Raw genomic sequence first — 18,972 nt, forward strand, 5'->3', positions numbered from 1 at the left:
TGGAAAGTATGCTGTTATCAACCATTATTGAAGTAAGTGGGTTTCTGGACTGAAAAAAAATAAAGAAAACATCTAAATGTCAGTGTGCAAATAGAAAGTAGCAGTCAATTAAATGAGGCAGTGTGTGGTCACCATAGATGGCCAATGTCTGTGTTATTAGGGAAAGAAGAGAAGCCGGGAAGGAGGAGGAGGTTTCTGGGGTTAACCTGTGTTTTGCTAACTGGTGTTAGTTAGTCTCAGATAAGAGCTCTATGTAAACCAACTTTGGCCCAAATTGACTCATTGAAAAACACCTTGTTTCAAATTTTTTCCCCCTCTATGACCAAAAAGTTACCCAAACCTTTGTGTCACATATTTAAGGATGTTCAAGGCAACCAATTAGTATTCAAGCATTTAGAATTATTTTGAAACATCTTCTGTGAAAAACAATTTATTTCCTATTCCAAAATAAATGCAGAATATTCCTAATATAGTTTGATAGTTCCTCCTCAAGACTTATCATTCAAAGATTGGGCAAATTGACTTGAAAGAGAAAAGTTAAGCTATTTCCCTAATACCAAGGCAATGCAGGTCAGCTGCAGTGCCTAATGTTTATAAAACTTGTAAATGTTGAAACCCACACTTGGTCTGAGAGAACATCATGCTCCAGTTTGTTCTTAGGAATGTGTTTCTGATGTGTGTGTGTGTGTGTGTGTGTGTGTGTGTGTGTGTGTTTTCCAGAAACCAACTGGGAAGGGCCCTAAGCTGAGATTACTGTTGAGAAGTAAATTGTGCTTTTAAAGTGTCCTCCAGCAAAATGGTCTCCTGGCTGTCTTTGGAAATGACGTATCAGTCCAGATGCCCTTTTTCTTGATGGATTGCTAGGATTTTTACTCACCACCGATGGAAAATTCTCATAGTCTGGAAGGGTGGAGCGTCTGCCTTCTATCATGATTGTACACAGATGAGCAAAGCTCCTTGGCAATGAGTGAGGCAGACGGGCAGTCAGGTTCGGACTGGTGCAGCAGGTAGGCTGCTGCTAGGGAGGAAGGAAGAGGCACAGAAGTTCAGGGCGTGAGAGGGTATGCGAGAGATGTCAACAATCCAGGAGCTGGCTTGCTTCTTCCTTTAGTCAGTGGTGCAAGCTTCAAGTGGATAATTCAAATGAATCAATGGAAAGGCCTCTTTTAACATTTGATTTGTTTCTTCAAAGAACACAGATGAAGTTTTTCTCATCTCTTTAGATTAGTGATTCTATATTGGTGAGGGAGTGGAAGAGAAATGTGGGTGTGTTGACTATATTCTCCACAGAAACTTTTTGAAGTAGCATCGTCACTCAGCACAGAACATTTTGACAATACACTTCCAGGGCAGGTGGTTTCTTACTATGTCCCTCCCTACCCCCACATACTTTGGGACTCAGAATGTAGGGAGTGTACTCTCGAGGGATGCAGCCCATACGTGAATGCATGGAGGCAGCATATAAGGTTGCAAAGCACTGACCTTCTCTTTTTATGATTCCCATTTATTCCATAGACTGTGAAGTCTGCCTGTACATTTCCAGGCTAGCAGTTTTTAATCAAATGTATGATCACTTTCTTCTGATGAACACAGTTAAGGGGCTTTGTTGTTCAGGTGAGTCTCACATTGTACTCCTCTCCTAAGAGCATTTATTATTACTTGCTACATACATTTTTGACAACCTGACAATGACTTTTTTGTCTTAATTTGGAGAAAACATACTCTGAGCTTTTGAAGTTGGTGTACTTGTTAAAGGAAGCCAGAAAAGCTTTTCAACCATTTGAGAGGGTGTGAAATACAGAAGGGGTTGTGCGTTTCTTCCCCCCTCATCTCTTAGAGCCCTGTTACCCAAGAGAGTTCACCAATTACCCAAACCAAGTTTCATTTTGTTTTCTCTCTAGTTTGAAAACTGTTTTTATTGCTTCAACTCTCCTTGTCTAGGAGAGCTGTTTCAGGTTTTTAGAGTCCTAAGAAAGGCTTCACTGGCTCTCTGCCAGCCTCCTGTCCCATTACACGCTCAGGCTTGTAGTCAGTTACTCTCTGCTGGTTTTGCTAAACCACTCTTGGGTCTTTCTTGGCCTCCTGCCCCGCATTCCCCTTCACGTTGTAAACGTAGCTTTTTAAGTTGGTCCCTTGATTGCTTCAAGTAATTGATCTGTTGGCCTAAAAATGAGTGGCTCTGATTCAGAGGTAGGAGTTAAACCAGATTCTGCCTAGGGACAAGTGTGTTGGGAGCTCTGCTTCTCTGGAGACAATGGTCAGCAGTGTTGCAACCAACTCCATGTCTGGTGCACCAGATGGTCTCATTGGGTGGTAGGGTGGCCAAACCTTGTGTGAGCTGGCTCACTTGTTCATTCATTCATTCGTTTACTCGTTCTTTTTTGTATTAGCTTAAAAATGCTTATACGCCGGCCATGGTGGCTCATGCCTGTAATCCTAGCACTTTGGAAGGCAGAGGCGGGAGGATTGCTTGAGTCTAGGAGTTTGAGACCAGCTTGGCCAAAACAGTGAGACTCCATCTCTACAAAAAAAGAAAAATAAATTAGTTAGGCATGGTAGAGTGTGCCTGTAGTCCTAGCTACTCAGGAAGCTGAGATGGGAGGATTGCTTGAGCCTAGGGGGTTGAGGCTGCAGTGAGCTATGATCATACCACTGCAATCTAGCCTGAGTAACAGAATGAGACTGTCCCCCCAACCCCCCAAAAACAGAAAACAGTATTCCTATCATATGCATTCTCAACTCTGCAGAGGTCCTGGGTCACATTTCCTGCAAAGTTGCACTGCCTCCCATAGGCATGAGACCTCCACATGGACAGAATTTCATGAGTGTTCACCTTGGTGTTGCTACTTTGCAACATAGACTTGAAGATTCAGAGAGGAGATGTGGTAAGAGTTTATTTCTGGACAGAGAAAAGCTACACCATTCATCTAGATCTCATTAATCTGTATTCATTTTGACATGCTTTTCTGCAGTTGACGTTTTTATTTATTAAGCGCTTTACAAGATATTCAGTATCATTATCGAAGCTATAATTATTAATGATCAAAGTTAGCAGTACTTGTTTTAGCTGTCATCTTCATCATCACCATCACCATCACCATCGTCATCATCAGGGCCACAACAGCCTCTTCTTTTCTCTTAAATCTTCCAGCAATTCTTCAACTTTGCCTGTATATTTATCATACAACATAATCCTAGTATTTAGTAAATGCTTGGTCTTTGATTTCTTATTTTCAAATGCATGTCTTTAGAACCAGAATGTGTGTAGCTGTTTTCTGGCCTGAATTTGGGCTGAGATGATGAGAAGTTTAGTTGCCACTTTCAGCTAAGTGGAAGTGTTTTCCCCATTTGGACTCCGGGTCATTGACAAACGTCATCACTGTTTTTAGTTGAAATGTGCTTCCATGTGGCTGTTCATCAGCACACCCATATCTAGACGTGTGCTAGCCTCAGTGAGAGTTGCAGAATCTGTGTATTCATTTCCTTTATCTAGAAATCCTCATTATGGTACATAAAAGAGCTTTCTATCGCTTTTTTACATTATAGTAGTTATTCGTTATTATTATTATTATTATTATTATTATTATTATTATTATTACTGAGACACCGTTTTACTCTCTCTTTGCCCAGGCTGGAGTGAAATGGCACGATCGCAGCTCACTGCGACCTCCACCTCTTGGGTTCAAGTGGTTCTTCTGCCTCAGCTTCCTGAGTAGCTGGGATTACAGGTGCACGCCGCCATGCCCGGCTACTTTTTGTATTTTTAGTGGAGACAGGGTTTCACCATGTTGGCCAGGCTGGTCTCAAACTCCTGACCTCAGGTGATCCACCCAACTCGGCCTCCCAAAGTGCTGGGGTTTCAAGCATGAGCCACCGCGCCTGGCTTTGTTATTATAGAGTTATATGGATTTATCATTTTAGGTGGAGATTTGAGTTTATGTCTCCTACAGACAGCCGTAGACTTTGTTTCATTTTAAGATCAGTGTTGCAGACACTGCTGAGTGTCTTCAAATGTCTGTTCTCCCTTTATTACCTACTAATAAAATACCTAATTTTCAACAGCCTGGGAAGAGACTATATTTCCCTGCTTGCCTTTGCAGCTAGAGTGATCCTTTGATGAAGTTCTAGTAAATGGGACGTTAGCAGAACTGTCGTATCTCAGGGCTTCCGTAGGGTTTATAACTGATCCACTGAGAGATAAGTTGAGAGCTTGAGAGTCAACCTTTAGAAAAGTTCGTAACTATTTGTCAAAATTAAGCTTATGTCTGTTCCAGGTAGTAATTTTAAAATGGGCTTATATTTTGTATGTCCTTTTTAATTTCCTTTTTCTAGCAATTCTCAATGTTTTTTTAAAATCTCTTCTGGAGGAGGGTACCCTTCACAAAGTTATTTGCCAAAGGTCTGAGGAAAAAAAAAGCCTTTCACCATGGTTAGTTCGAGAAGCACAGCAATACAGTACTTCTGCTACGAGTGTATACAGGCTGAGGATGGGTGCTTTGTGGCCCTTTTCTTTTACCGGCTGACTAGAATGTTGACGTTAAAGCAGTTAGAGTTCGAGCAGGCAACTCCGACCCCAAGTTGGAGCTGTGTGTTGAAGATAGAAGAGCAAATATGTGGAAGGAACCTGGATTTCTATTTTTTTAAAAAATATAATAAATCATCCAGCCCCAAATGTCAGGAACCTGGGTTTCTAATGATGGTTGGCTGTCACCCCCATTTCCCACACTTTAAATGAGAGAAGTAAACATCTGACTTCCTAAAACCACCGTTGTCACTCAAAGCCGAATCTCATCCTGACTGAAATGTCACTAGTCCTTTTTTTTTTTTTTTTTTTTTTTTTTTTTTTTTGGTCATATTTTCTCCATTTGGAGAGGCTGGCTGACCCATCAATGGGCAGTGTGGGGGAATGGAGAGACCTGGGATTTTGGGGACAACAGTGACCATGAGGGGATCTCTACACTCCTACTTGGAAATGGAGTAGCATTCTACACTTAAGTATCTCCCTTTATAAGCTAGGAATACTAAGAACCTAAGAGTCTCCATGAGGATTAGATGAGGTAATGTTTGTAAAGAATCTGAGATATAGTAAGTTGATCAGCATATGTTATTTATCCTCTTCTTCCCTCTACAAAGATAACTAAGCTGAGATAGCCTAACTCCCCCAGCTCAGAAAATAGCAAGTTATTTGCAAAATCAAATGCTGATGTAACCATTTCCATTCTGAACTCAGAAAATGGAGATAAATCTCTTGCAAGGCTTTTGATTTTAGTTTTTAGATACAGAACCTTTAAAAAAAAAGAAAAATAAACGTTTTGCCAAAGTGTAGTATATACAACAGATGTGAGGGAAGGACATTGTTTTAAGTGGGAAACGTCAGCTCTCTCAACTTCTACACATTCGACTATTCCCTACTCCTCAGTGACCCCAAAGACCCCAGAGAAACTCAGTATGAAAAATCACTATGGAAGTGCAATAGTTATTACTTTGTTTGGAATTCACTACAACACTGTTTCTCAAAATATAATTCCTGAGTCACTTGGAAGATTACAACCAACTGAATTAGAATCTCTGGAAGGCATCCTAAGAGTCTGCATTTGTATGAAGCTTCCCAGGTGGTTCTGCTCAGCCCTAAGTTTGAAAACTACTGGCAGAATAGTAGCAGAGTTACTTATTCTACATTCGTTTTTTAACCCATTGTAAAAATCATACATGTATGTTCAAGACACCGGCAGATCACAGGAAGGGAAAAAAAATCACTTATGCTTCCACCACCTTAACCTAGAAACCTTTAGGACTTTTCAGTACTTCCTTTCTGTCTTTTTCCCCTATACCTAAGTTTTTATTTACAATATAGTTGTAGCCATATGATTGTTGCTTTCATTGTTGCTTACATGTGTTAAATAATTTTGTCTCTGTATAATAACAACCTCTGGCGATTTTTCCTTTCTCTCTCTCTCTTTTTTTTTTTCTTTTGTTTAGACGGAGTCTTGCTCTGTCACCCAGGCTGGAGTTTAGTGGCATGATCTTGGCTCACTGCACCCTCCGCCTTCTGGGATCAAGTGATTCTCCTGCCTTAGCCTCCTGAGTAGCTGGGACTATAGGTGTACATCACCACACCTGGCTACTTTTTGTATTTTTAGTAGAGATGGGGTCTCATCTGGTGATTTTTCAAGTAAGGTAATGGAAGCAAGAGAGGTTTACATACATGGTGTACATATACCTCGGCAGCCTGTTTCCTTCCCTTATAACTATCTCAAAAAAACATATTAAGTTATTTTTCAGAATTATGTTTTTTCCTGTTGCTTTTGACTGTAAAGGGCAGACTTAAATTTAGTTAACATCTGCTCTAACGTTGGATCATGTGTGGAGTCCCCAGTTTTCAACATTAAAAATAAAGTATTTGTTGAAGTGGGGTTTTTTTCTTCTTACAGTATATGTAGAACCATTTTCTTGAAAATGTTTCTTAGAAATTTGTTACTTAGAAGATTTGAGCCAATGATACATTGCCGAGATTTGTAAGAGTAAGACCAGCCTACGCTGAGTATTATTTTCTCAAAGGAATATTATGAGGCACATCCCATCTTCATATCAGGGAACAAACTGTCACATTTTAGTGAAATCTGTGGGTTATGTGTGACCACACACAGTGTCGTGTTTGCTCCCTTTACAGAAATCTAAGTAAAAGAATCACTTTTTCCTAGTATCTGGATGACTTGATTTCTTACTATCTTGGGCCTTCTTGGAAACCCTGAAATGTAGCCTTTTCATCTTAATTCACAAAGTGTTCATTCTCACCCTTTTCCTTCATGAGAATTTTCTGAAGCTATTGTGAATCTATGGAAGACTCAAGGTAGTATCTTTTTCACAGCATTCAAAAAAATGCTGCTGGCTCCTTGGCTTGTCCGGTGCATCCTCCGTGCCAGCCCCCGCTGTCCTAGAACCATCTAAGCTAACTCTCCGATGAGCTCTGGCCTCTGGACCTCAGCCTATCCAGGCCCCTTCATGACCCAGTCACAGTGATTCTATCTGTACCTACCACAGCTAGGTAGGCGGTATGGGAAGACCACAAACTTGAGAGTCAGACGGATCGAACTTCGTCTTTAGCCCCCCACTTAGGTGTTATGTGACTGTGGTCGGGTTATTGGTAACATCTTCTTGCTCAGCTTCCTGACCTGCAGAATGGGAATAAGAATACCTAGCACATAGGGTTATAATGAAGATGAAACTGCTTAACGCATGTGAATAACAACAATGGCTAACATGTATCAGACGCTTGTCTTAGTGTTTATTGTTTTATGCGTATTGTCCTGTTTCATCCTCATGCTTACCCTGAGAGAAAGGTGGTATTATTATTCTTATTTTGCAGGTGAGGCTTAAAGAGGTCAATTATTAGGTTGAACTGTATGAAATGACTGTTTTTATAGGGAAAAACAGTAGCCGATCATCAATTCCCTAAGGTTCCACGTAATAATTTGTCCAGGTCTCATAGCAAAAAGGTGGCCGGATGAGGATTTGAACCCACTGCTCTCCAACCCCTAAGCCCGTGCTTTGTAGAATTAATCGGAGCTCTAAAGTACTTGACCCTGGGCCTGACACCAATCAGGAGCTTAAAACCCATTAGTTTCTTTTTTGTTTTATTTTTGCCCACTATTAAAATGTGCCAAAGTAATAAGATCAAACAGGGCCCCTGCGTTTTGACAAACATCCGAATTCTGAATTTCAGCGTGGAACAGGGCATGGAAAGCAAACACAATGGGGAAAATTGCCGTGGCCGGTCCCGACAATGTGTGGATTAAAAAACCACATGCATGCACAGAGACCTGATGTGAATGGTATTTCTGAGTGGAAGCTAAGTAGGAGCTGAAAATGGCCTTTTAAAATACAGAACATAAGGATGCAATTCACAGAGATGGTCTAAACTGTAAACATGCAGCTGTGGGGTTTGTGAGGCTCATTGCTTACATACCGACAGCATACAAATTGTCAAGTACTTAAAGTTCCATTGTTGCTGAAAGGGCCTCCACCCAATGTCCTTAAATGGTCCCCCCTTTTTTTTTTTTTTCAAACCACAGGATTTACATCTCTCGTAGCATCTAATGAAATACCAGCAAGAATTGTGTGTTGGTGTAAGAAATAATAATCTTTCCAAATCCTTTTGTTTTGTTATCATTTGCTAATAGAGATCTTTGAAAGAAAATTCAAAGATTGAAGTTTGTATTCTCCTAAACTCCTGCAAAGAAGTCCTGTGCAAGGATCGTTCACTAGTGTTCTGCATCGTTCTTCTTACTCAACTCTCCCGAGAGGCATTGTGGACGCCTGTGGGGTTGGTTTTTGGCACCCATCCCTGACCCCTTCTTCTCCAGGAAACTCTGTTCCTACCTGCTCCTCTTGTGGCTACCTTGGGAGGTGCCATTTTTATCAAGGTTAGTGTGTGGTTAAGCACCTTCCCACAAGCTCAGGGGAAAAAAAGGTCCCCTCCCCAGATTTTTTTTAGAACTGGAAGTTTCCATTTCCTGGCACTGGTGAAAGCTCTAGGACATAAAACTTGGGAGCCGATGGCCTTCAGGCTGCCCATAATGTGAAGAGAGGTCATTTCAGACATTCAGATAAAGTCTGTGGCTCCAGTATTTTTCTAGGTCTTGCTCCCTCCCTGACCTTTTCACAGTTTGGTGACACAACTCTTCCTTGAATTCCATAGGTTGACAAATTCCCCTGAGTTTGGGTTAGGGTTTTGTTACTTGCAAGGCAGGCATCACAGGGCTGCTCCTGGCCATGCATAGCTTTGGAATCACTTCTCTGATTCTCATGGCTCGGGAAGGAGAAAGTGTCCTGTGTGTGGAGATGGCAGGGTGGCTGGAGTTGAGAGGAGAGTCCCTTGAATGCCACGCAACATTTCTCTCTGTAGGTGTCCTCTGCACACTGTCCAAACTCCATTTTTAACCTTGACTGCATAGTACCGTGTACATTCATTAAGCATCCCTCGCCATAGGAGAATCTGAGTTCCTGGGAGCATTTAACACAGTTCCTGGCCTTGAGTAAAAACTTCATAAGCACTTGTTGAATTGAACTGAATTTGTTGTCTGTGTTTAAAGGACTTGATGGATAAAGGGAGATTTAACAGTTTATAGCCAGATTGGACTCAACCATGATGATTTCTGGTCCATCTTTTAGAATGTCTTCACTTCTCTTGGCCTTTATTTCTCCAAGTGGTGATAATGAGACCTATCCCTAACGGTTAAAGTGACATGGTCCATTTAAAGTGCTTAAACCAATTGCCAGGCACATAATAGGTGCTCAATAAATACTTCCTTTATTTCCCTGTTAGGCCTCTCCCAACCAGAGATCAAAGATGATTGGCCCTGAAGTTATTTTTCCCCCCAAATTTGATAGAAATCAGTAGAGATGCTAAAATATAATACATTTGACCTGCATTGATCAAGGTAGGCTAACTGCTATAACAACTTTACAATTAGTGCCTTAACATAATATAAAATGACTTCTTGTTCATGTAACATCCAAGGTAGCTGTACCTAGTTGCAATGCTCTCTTCCAAGTAGATATTTAGGGACACGGGCTCCTTCTATCTTCTGTCACCACCACCTTTATTTTTAGCATCCGCGGTCTTAGCAACAGTAGAAGGAAAGAATGGAGATAAGACAGTGGGTATTTAATCACCTTAGCCCATAAGTGACTCACGTCACTTCTGACTACCATATCCAATTTTTGCCTCTCTTTTTTTCTTGGGTTCCCCCCGACAAAAAAAAATATGACAGAAGTGTCACCCATCCAGCCAGCCAGCCATCAATCCGGTATCCATTCATCCATCCATCCATCTAGGCATCCCAGGTGACTCATTCCTGTGACCTTGGGAGACAGTCTTTCTTCCTAGAGGTTGTTTGCCCCAACCCCCTGTTACATTCTTGAACCATATGTTTCCCATTGTTTGCACTTCCCCTAGTCACCTGGTGCTTTAATTTTTGCCTGTAACCTTCTGAAACTTTCCTTAAATGTTCGGCTTTGACCTGTCATTCACTAAGTCTTTCACCATCCTTCACTCATCTTACCTCCTTCTTCTGTGGCATTTCATAAATTTAATGATTGTAATTGTGATTACAACATAATTGTTTATGTCTACCCCAGGCTTTGCAACAGGGAACTATATCATTATTTTGCAGACACAACAAATTCTGCAAGCATGTATCTTTGGAATAAAGGAGAGAGGGTTGGACACAAATGTGATTACAACATATGCTTCTCTGGGCATAGCTTTGCCCCATTGCACGAATATAGAAAATTTGGCAGGCTGAAAATAAGCGGAAAGATCCTCAAGCTGTTCCTTCCACCCCCTGGGATGCTGATTAAGATTTCAGATTTTATTTATTCTACGGGTATTTGTTGAATATTTATTTCTTACGATACCACGCACTGCTTTAGGCACTGGGAATATAGCAGGATATACAAAACAGAAAAATCATGGCCCTCATGGATTATTGGTTGTGAGTAATAGGAACCTTTCAATCTAACTTAGGAAAAAAGGTTAGGGAGCCAAGGAGGAAGAGTGGGTGTGATGATGCATCAGGATACCAGAGAATCCCGTGGAATCCCACAGTGACACAGCCAAGCCTTGGGAGGGGTGACACTAGCGATAGAGACAGAAACCCACACAGGAGTCCTTTTCTCTGTCTCTCATCTCTGCTTTTCTCTGTACATCTGGTTCAATTATTCTCTTGCCACGAATCAGCTATTTGTATTCCTCTGTGCACGTCGCAGAAGATCAGGAATTTGCACATTATAGTCACAACCATACCTAGAACCAAATTGCCTAACACTGAATCCCAAATCCAAATTCCTGGGAGATAGAATTCAATTCTTCTCTTGCCACAAATCAGCTGTTTATACTCCTCTTTGCACGTTGCAGAAGATCAGGAATTTGCACATTATAGCCACAACCATACCCAGAACCAGATTGTCTAACACTGAATCTCGAATCCAAATTCCTGGATTTGGATGGACTCAATCTGGACCCAGTATCTACATTTGGTCCAGTCATCTGTATCCGGCATCGGGGTCTTGTTGAAAAACCATGGCTTAGCCGGGTACAGTGGCTCATACCTGTAATCCCAGCCACTTGGGAGGCTGAAGTGGGAGGATCGCTTGAAGCCAGGAGTTTGAGACCAGCCCGGGCAACACAGGGAGGCAACATCTCTAAAAGAATTTTTTAAGGAATAAAAAGGAAAAGCATGGCTTTTATTCTAAGAGCAAAGGCATTTTGTATATTTGGCAGGTATCCCAACAGATGCATCACCCAGTCTCTTAAATTAAGATAATAATTTATTTGGCAAGTGAATTCTTCTAGTGTAGTTAGATAGTGATGAAAAGATTTTTATACCTCCAAACACACACACGCACATGCACACCCACCAGGCTCTTCTTTACTTCTCACTCATAGATTTGAAAACAACTATTATATTATAGAAGTTTTTTGGTATAGCTGCCAGGGGTCATTGTTTCCATCCCCTGTGTGGAGATAAGAAAATCGAGATCCAGTGGAGTGTGGGGTGCTGAGAGAACAAGTCTATGTTTTCTTGAGACAAAGTCTTGATCTGTTGCCCAGGCTCGAGTGCAGTGGCAGCATCTTGGCTCACTGCAACTTCTGCCTCCCGTGTTCAAGTGATTCTCCTGTCTCAGCCTCCTAGGGAGCTGGGATTACAGGTGTGCACCACTATGCCCAGCTAATTTTTATATTTTCAGTAGAGATGGGGTTTTGCCGTGTTGGCCAGGCTGGTCTTGAATTCTTGACCTCAGGTGATCCATCCACTTTGGCCTCCCAAAGCGCTGGGATTACAGGCATGAGCCTAACTATCCTCATTAAGCCATCTGCTTTCTGCAGTCATTTTCATGGCGATGTGTTATAACAGGACAGACCTTGTACTTTGGAATCAAACATTCTCAACTCTGCTATCTGCTCTTTGTGGGGCCCTGAACAAAAATCTTTACTCTCTTTGAGCCTTCGCTTCCTCATTGGTCAAGACTTTTCTCACTGCATTATATTTGAGTGAGACCCGTATCAATGGATTGAAATTCTCAGAAACCCAAGACCAGGAATAGCCCAGTGACAGGAATTTAGACCATGCCAAGTGTGAACCATGGCTTGCGGGGGCTCCTGTCTCACGCTGGATGCTCCTGCCTGGCTGCCTCTGGTCTCCAGCAGAAGACCTGTCGTGCTTGAGTGACAAAGCAGATTGCTTCCTCCCACCTCTGTGGGTTAGGACCCCTTTTTCTATCCTAGTTTCACTCTGATGGGCGAGTTCACTCACAGTGAAACCGTAGCAAAACCTCAAGGTTTGGCTTAACTGCAAAGGGGTGGTTGATATCAGATTCATACGCCAGAACCAGAAGACCACTCGTGAGAAATTCTGTAAGCACAGGAGTGTGGTTTATGTCAAAATCAATCTGATGGAGTGAAGCCATTCCTTGCCAAGCGAAAATACAGCATCATCAACTACATCCTTGAGCCTAGAACCTCTTCACTCAGCACCAGCTAGTGGGTAAAGCCCGGGAGAGGTTGTAACAAATCTGATTCCCTGACACTCACCTGAAACAAGATTCAGCAAAATTAAAAGCAATATTAATATATGTCGCCTTGGGAAACAGAGGCAGAGGAGAACAGGAAAGAGTCAGATGGACTTTGATTTGAGACCCGTTTCTGCTTCTTCCCAGGGTGTGACCTCAGCGGAGTTCCAGAGCATCCATCTCCTTTGTAAGACACAGATAATACCAACTGCATGGATTTGTTATGAGAGTTACATCAGGGGAGGGTCATGAGGTCACCTTCCCATGGCCAGGAGAAGCAGGTACTCAGGAATGGCTACTTCTCTGGCCACTTTATAGACCTATGGAGATGTTGAAAGTAGCCCAAAGGAACTGTGTGCCTCGCATCTTGGTCCATCTTCATGGGTTGATCATTGTGGTTCATATCACTGTTTCATGAAACACAGCCCGCCAGAAAGTCGCGAGTGTTTTGATTTCATCCTATACCTATAGTTACAGGCCATTTAAGATCCACAGTCTGCTCTTTTAGCTTCTGCCAGCACATTTGGACATCTGTGCAGTTCCCAGGGCAGGTGAAGAGTTGTTCATGTGATGCAAACTTTTGAGAAGGGACGTGTAGGGAAGATGGGAGGGAGGTGATATTTATTGAGTATTTTCTTTTTGCTTTCAGCTTTATACCTTGTGTGTGCTTACAGAGGTCATGAATTGTCCGCTGTTGTATGTGTAATCCGTGGCAGATGTGCATAATAAGTTCAGGAGGGGCTCGGTTTTGGGAGGCCGGGGATACTAGAAGATAACCCTAAAATGTGGAAATCTACATCAGAGAGTGGTGTGAGTGGTTCCCAAAATGCCTACCTGGCACTCCTACCAAAGACACAGCAGAGAACTTGGGGCCTCTTGTTTCAGCCATTTTCATCTTCACTGTAAATCTAGACAAGATAATGAATGAAGAACCTGACACATTTAAGGAACTCCATAGTTGGGAGCCCAGTGTGAGTCATTATGGCGAGTCCCTAACACTGCGGTTCCCCTACTTGAGGGCGCAGGTAGGGGCACTTTGCTGCCTCCTTTGACAATAAGCATTGCCATTGCCATGTGATTTGCTTTGCCTAATGAAATGTGAGTGACACTTCCAGATGGAAATATTAAGAGCCAGTGTGTGGTTCACCCTGACCCCTTCCTATGCCCCAGCAATTAAGGAAGCAATGTTCAGATGAAACCCATGTCTTCCTCCTGGGTCCCTGAGTGACCACAGTCAACAGAGCTTCCCTGTTGGCCATTACTAATGTCAAGAACAAAGCTGTGTAAAGTCACTAAGATTTTGGAGGTATCGGCTGTTGCAGTAGAACCTAGCCTATCTCACCTGACACAAACGTTTTCTTTCTCACAAAACCTCACACCAGTGTTGTTTTATTCATCTGCTTATGCACGCGTATGGCTGCAACATCCTTCCAAAATGCATTACAGGCTCTAATGCACGATAAGACAGTTAGGTTCGAAGGAAAACAAAGACAATTGCACGGCACAGAGGGAATATACTGCTACGGTAAACCGATCACTAACACCCGGCCCTGAATTTGCTTCAAAGTTTTCACTAAGGCACAAAGGGAGCCGTGTGGAGCTCCGGAGTTCCCATCTGAGGTCTTGTCTAACTCCTTGGCAACTTTTATGTATTTGTATAGGAGACTCTTTTGCCAGATGGTTGAAATGTTCATCCTCCTATTTTGTTTTAATGCAAACTGACATTTCTTCATCTTCCTGCGGTGGGTTTCTTTTATGAGGTCGTGCTTTGCATTTTCATAGAAAGAATTTCTGACTCCCGATCGGAGCCCACCCTTGTAGTTTCTGTGGGGGCTGTTTTGGTTAACCACTCGCATCAGTTTTAAGTCTCCACAGGCAGAACCAGACCATCGTGAACTTCTTGATTTACATGGTGGTGGAGAGTGGCTGAGAAACCAGGGAGAAACAGGAAGGAGCTGATTGAGGAGACCAAAGGAGGGTGGGGCCGCAGCTCTCAGGCACTCTTGGTGTTCAGAAGGCCAGCTTGAAGAAAGATGTGCATATTTGCAAATGCATTTCTTGTTCCTAGTGAAGAGGTGAGGAAGGACACTGACTGTGCTAGAGCTGTACAAAGAGAAGTAGAACTCTAAATAGAGAAAATATGTAAAGATCAATAAATCACACCAAAAATAAGTCATAAGAACAACAAATAATACCAGGAATAAATAATGTAAAATATAAATAATTCCTAAAATGGTGATAACAGCTTATGACAAGTAATTTCTTTTTTTTGAGATGGAGTCTCGCTCTGTTGCCCAGGGTAGAGTGCAGTGGTACAGTCTCGGCTCACTGCAACCTCTGCAACCCAGGTTCAGTCGATTCTCCTGCCTCCTGAGTAGCTGGGACTACAGGTGCATGCCACCACGCCCGGCTACTTTTTGTATTTTCAGTAAAGATGGGGTTTCACCATATTGGTCAGACTGGTCTTGGACTCCTGGCCTCGTGATGCACCCGCATCGGCCTCCCAAAGTGCTGGGATTACAGGCATGAGCCACCGCACCTGGAGGACAAGTAATTTCTAAGTATTATTTCTTTTAATCCTCACAGTGACTCCTTGTTAGGGTTTGCTGCATTTTATACAAAGAAGAAAGGAGTCTGTGGAAGTGACATAAAGTAGGACATGTATTCATTTACTGATTCAACCTTTCATTTGTACATATATGTATATTTTACAGACACGGTCACCCTGTCTAGGTATTAACAGTTATTACAAAGATGATATAATTTTGCAATCAAAATACAGACACAGTTGTCTGTCTCCCAGGCTGGAGTGCAGTGGCACAATTATAGCTCACCACAGCCTTGAACTACTAGGCTTAAGCAATCCTCCCGCCTCAGCCTCCCAAAGTGCTGGGATTACAGGCATGAGTCGCCACACTCAATTATACACTTAAATATACATATATATATACAATATACATATGTAAATATATCTGCATATACATGTTTAGGGACAAAAACACGGGAGTACCATTTCTGTCTTTGTCTCTCTCTCTCTTTCTCTCACTTGACTCTGTTGGGAGCTATATTAGTTGTTTTCTCTTTCCAAACCACCTTCTGGAGGTCTCTTAGATTTTCCCAATGATGAAGGAGCTACTGTCTAGGTTATTACAGTAGTAATAGTGGCCAAGAAAATGATATGAGGTTGAAGTGGACAGATGATGCTTTTCACTCTTCTGGGAGGTTCCCACTGGGTGGTCTGCTTTGCTGAGCTTTGAAAAAGAGCTTTTCTTCTTCCCAGTTCACTGGGCCGATGTGGGCACAGCCTCAGGTTTTGGTTTTTTTCTCCTTTGCTCCTTCACCACCTAGAAAACTAATTTCCTATAAAGAAAATTTCTCTGGAAATGCAACTTTCTCAATAGGTTGAGTCTACTCAAAGACTGACAGGTAAAAGTGGTCCACATAGAAAAACCTGTTTCTCTATTTTGTTTTCAAAATTATATCATCTTTATAATAACTGTTAGTACCTAGAAAAATGCATACATTTTATTCCTTACCAAAACCAGTTACCCTATAGTCAAAAGGCATTCAGAAGTATTAGCAGAAATGTAGTCAGTAGCCAGGCATAGTGGCTCACACCTGTAATCCCAGCACTTGCGGAAGCTGAGACTGGAGGATCACTTGAGGCCAGGAGTTCAAGTCCAGCCTGGGCAACACAGTGAGACCTCATCACTACAAAAAATAAAAACAAAAAAATTAGCCAGGCTTGGTGGTACATGCCTGTAGTCCCAGCTACTCACCTGTAGTCCCAGCTACTTGGGAGGCTGAGGCAGGAGGATCGCTTGCATCCAGGAGGTTGAGGCTGCAGTGAGCCATGACTGTGGCACTGCACTTCAACGTGGGCAACAGTGTGAGACCCCATCTCCAAAAAAAAGAGCAGTATAGTCAGTAAGAAAGAAAACAAACTAACAGTCAATATTGTGGCTGCTCTCAATGTTCTTTAAACGGATCACATTGCCACTTTTTTCTCTTTGTAAAAATGAAAATTCCCAGCACATATTACATGCTCAATAAATGTTAATTGAGCATTTTCTGTCTGAGAAGTTCAGGCAACTTTTCATCCTTCCAATTGTTAAGTTCTAGTTTCTTATTACAAATTATTACTGTTATTATTTTAATTTGATTGATATGCAAAAGTCAAATTTGTGCAAAGAAAATGCAAGCTTTGAGATGAGAAAGCGTGTCTTCTGGTATGTTTCTTGATACATTTTGAGGGTATTGAGCTCTAATTTACTTAAGATGACCTTTTGAAAATAGATTAACTTATCAAAACTTGTGGTGGAAGCAAGACTTTGTCAGTACAGTACTATCCAAATTCTAAAGTAATGAATGCTTCTCTCCCTCTGGAGTTAGAGACCTGACTCTGGGGTGTGGATAAAGAATTTGTGTCCTGGCCAGGTGCAGTGGCTCATGCCTGTAATTCCAACACTTTGGGAGGCCAAGGTGGGAAAATCACTAGAGTCCAGGAGTTTGAGACCTGCTTGGGCAACATAGGGAGACTCTGTCTCTACAAAAAATAAAAAGAAATTAGCCAGGCATGGTGCTGCATGCCTGTAGTCCTAGCTATGTAGGAGGCTAAGGCAGGAGGACTGCTTCACGCTGGGAGGTGAAGGATGCAGTGAACTGTGATTGTGCCACTGCGCTCCAGCCTGGGTGACAGAGTGAGACCCTGTCCCAAAACAAAATAAAACAAAGAGTTTATGTGTTCAGTAAGAGCTGCAGTCACATCTCTAGTACAGACTCTGCAGAGCACTAGGAAGCCCCGTGTCTGAATGGGATATGGTGAGAGAGGCAGCCTAGGGAATGGAGATACCTGGGGGTCCCCATCTGCTCCTGATGGACAGCTCAGATGACCCCAAGACCCTCTACCAGGCACTGATGGAGTAAGGATGGAGATGGGAATTGCATTTTAGAGGTAAGAAGCCAAGTGGCATGATGAGGAGAGTATTCATGAAATTTATGGAACAGTCTGGGGGAAATGCCATGATTTCAAGCCCTTCACCTAAATCTTCAAAAGTGGCATGGATCAGTGCCTCTCTTCCCCAGCCAGGAGCGTGTGAAGCATGGGGACCTCCGGAATGTTCTCAGAAAATGCTTGGTTCTTCCTGTGTTGAGCAGGGAAGAAGCTGAAGCTAGCATGGGCAGGGGAGAAGAAAGCCAGTTACATATCAAAGAATGCTTATCTCCGTAGACACCACTGTGTTTGAGAGTCACATTGGGTGGTTTGTAGGCAGCTTTTCATTTTCACAGCCAGTCAGGCAAGGCTTGGAATAACTTGTCTAAGAATCCTCATCTTAACCCTGTGCTAGAACAACAAGCTTGGAAGGAGCCAGCCAACAGGAGAAAGCCAGAGCAAGACTCTGTGCTGGACAAGAAGTCCTGAGCACTGGGGAGTTGACTTCATATTGGAGGCAGAGAAGAATTACCTGCCGATGGCTGTTGGCCCATGGCAACACCCTAGATCGTTGCATTTGTGGTCCTGCTGAAAGAGGAGACTTAAGTTATAGAGTTATTGGTACTTGCAACACTTTCTCTGGAATTTGGCCATTTCTCTGCTCTTTTAGTTTAGTACGTTCTCTTGGTTGCGAGGAAATCACTGAAGCCACCTCACGTAATGTGAGCATGTATGCTCAAGGGGACCAGGAAATGCTGAAAGTTCAGGCCTCGGAAAGGACAGGATGTGGAAGGATGTTCTGGACTCAAGGAGGCCTAGGGACCCTTGGCAGGAGGCATTCATGGGTCTGTAGTCCAAGGCTCCACTACCATCTCCTTGGCTTCTCTCTTCCATTCTAGCTTCTTCTGCTTATTCATCACTTTTGCTTCCTATGAAATTGGTGCATCCTGGTCTTGGCCTCTTTGAGCCCTCTGTATAGTGTGAGCTCATCTGGTACTCTTGACTCTCTCAGGCTCCTGAAGGAGAACCATCAGATAGAAGCATCTCATCTCCCCAGGCCATGCCACTGGGCCTCAGCCAGGCTTGAACTAGCTAGGCTCAGTCCACGGGGTGGCCTTCAAGCAGCCTAGACTTGGATCCCTAAGCACAGCCTGTGGATGGGACGTTTTAAGGTAAAGGGAGGACGCAGAGCATTGCAGCCCGTTGGTTGTTTTCTCCAGCACAGCCATGCAAAATCCATGTAGCGGCAGGAATTTTGCAGCTGGAGTTGCTCCCCTGAGACTCTGATCAGATAAAGACAGGGTTTGCTGAACACCGTAGGTCTGGCCCTGAGCCGTGGGCAGCCTGATGAGCACAGGTGAATGGTGCAAGGGATAACCTCACAGTCATCAGCAAGTCTTATCTGGGCCGCTGCAAATATGACGGAGTCAGAAAAATGACAACATAAAGAAATGCGATGTTTTCTA

At 42.8% G+C, this 18,972-nt stretch overlaps 1 protein-coding gene across 2 annotated transcripts in view, besides 1 other annotated feature; it reads left to right on the forward strand.

Annotated features, from left to right (window-relative positions):
• The window catches only part of WWOX (WW domain containing oxidoreductase), a 1,113,014-nt gene that overhangs the window by 969,941 nt on the left and 124,101 nt on the right, over positions 1-18,972 (forward strand). The window lies entirely within an intron of this gene.
• Positions 7,741-8,261: an enhancer, noted in NCBI's record as "NANOG hESC enhancer chr16:79111232-79111752 (GRCh37/hg19 assembly coordinates)". NCBI's record gives its function as "activates a minimal SCP1, AML or CMV promoter by ChIP-STARR-seq in naive and primed H9 embryonic stem cells {active_cell/tissue: H9 hESC(naive and primed)}" and the evidence as "EXISTENCE:reporter gene assay evidence [ECO:0000049][PMID:30033119]".

Source organism: Homo sapiens, chromosome 16, assembly GCF_000001405.40.
Source record: "Homo sapiens chromosome 16, GRCh38.p14 Primary Assembly".
Classification (NCBI taxonomy): Eukaryota; Metazoa; Chordata; class Mammalia; order Primates; family Hominidae; genus Homo; species Homo sapiens.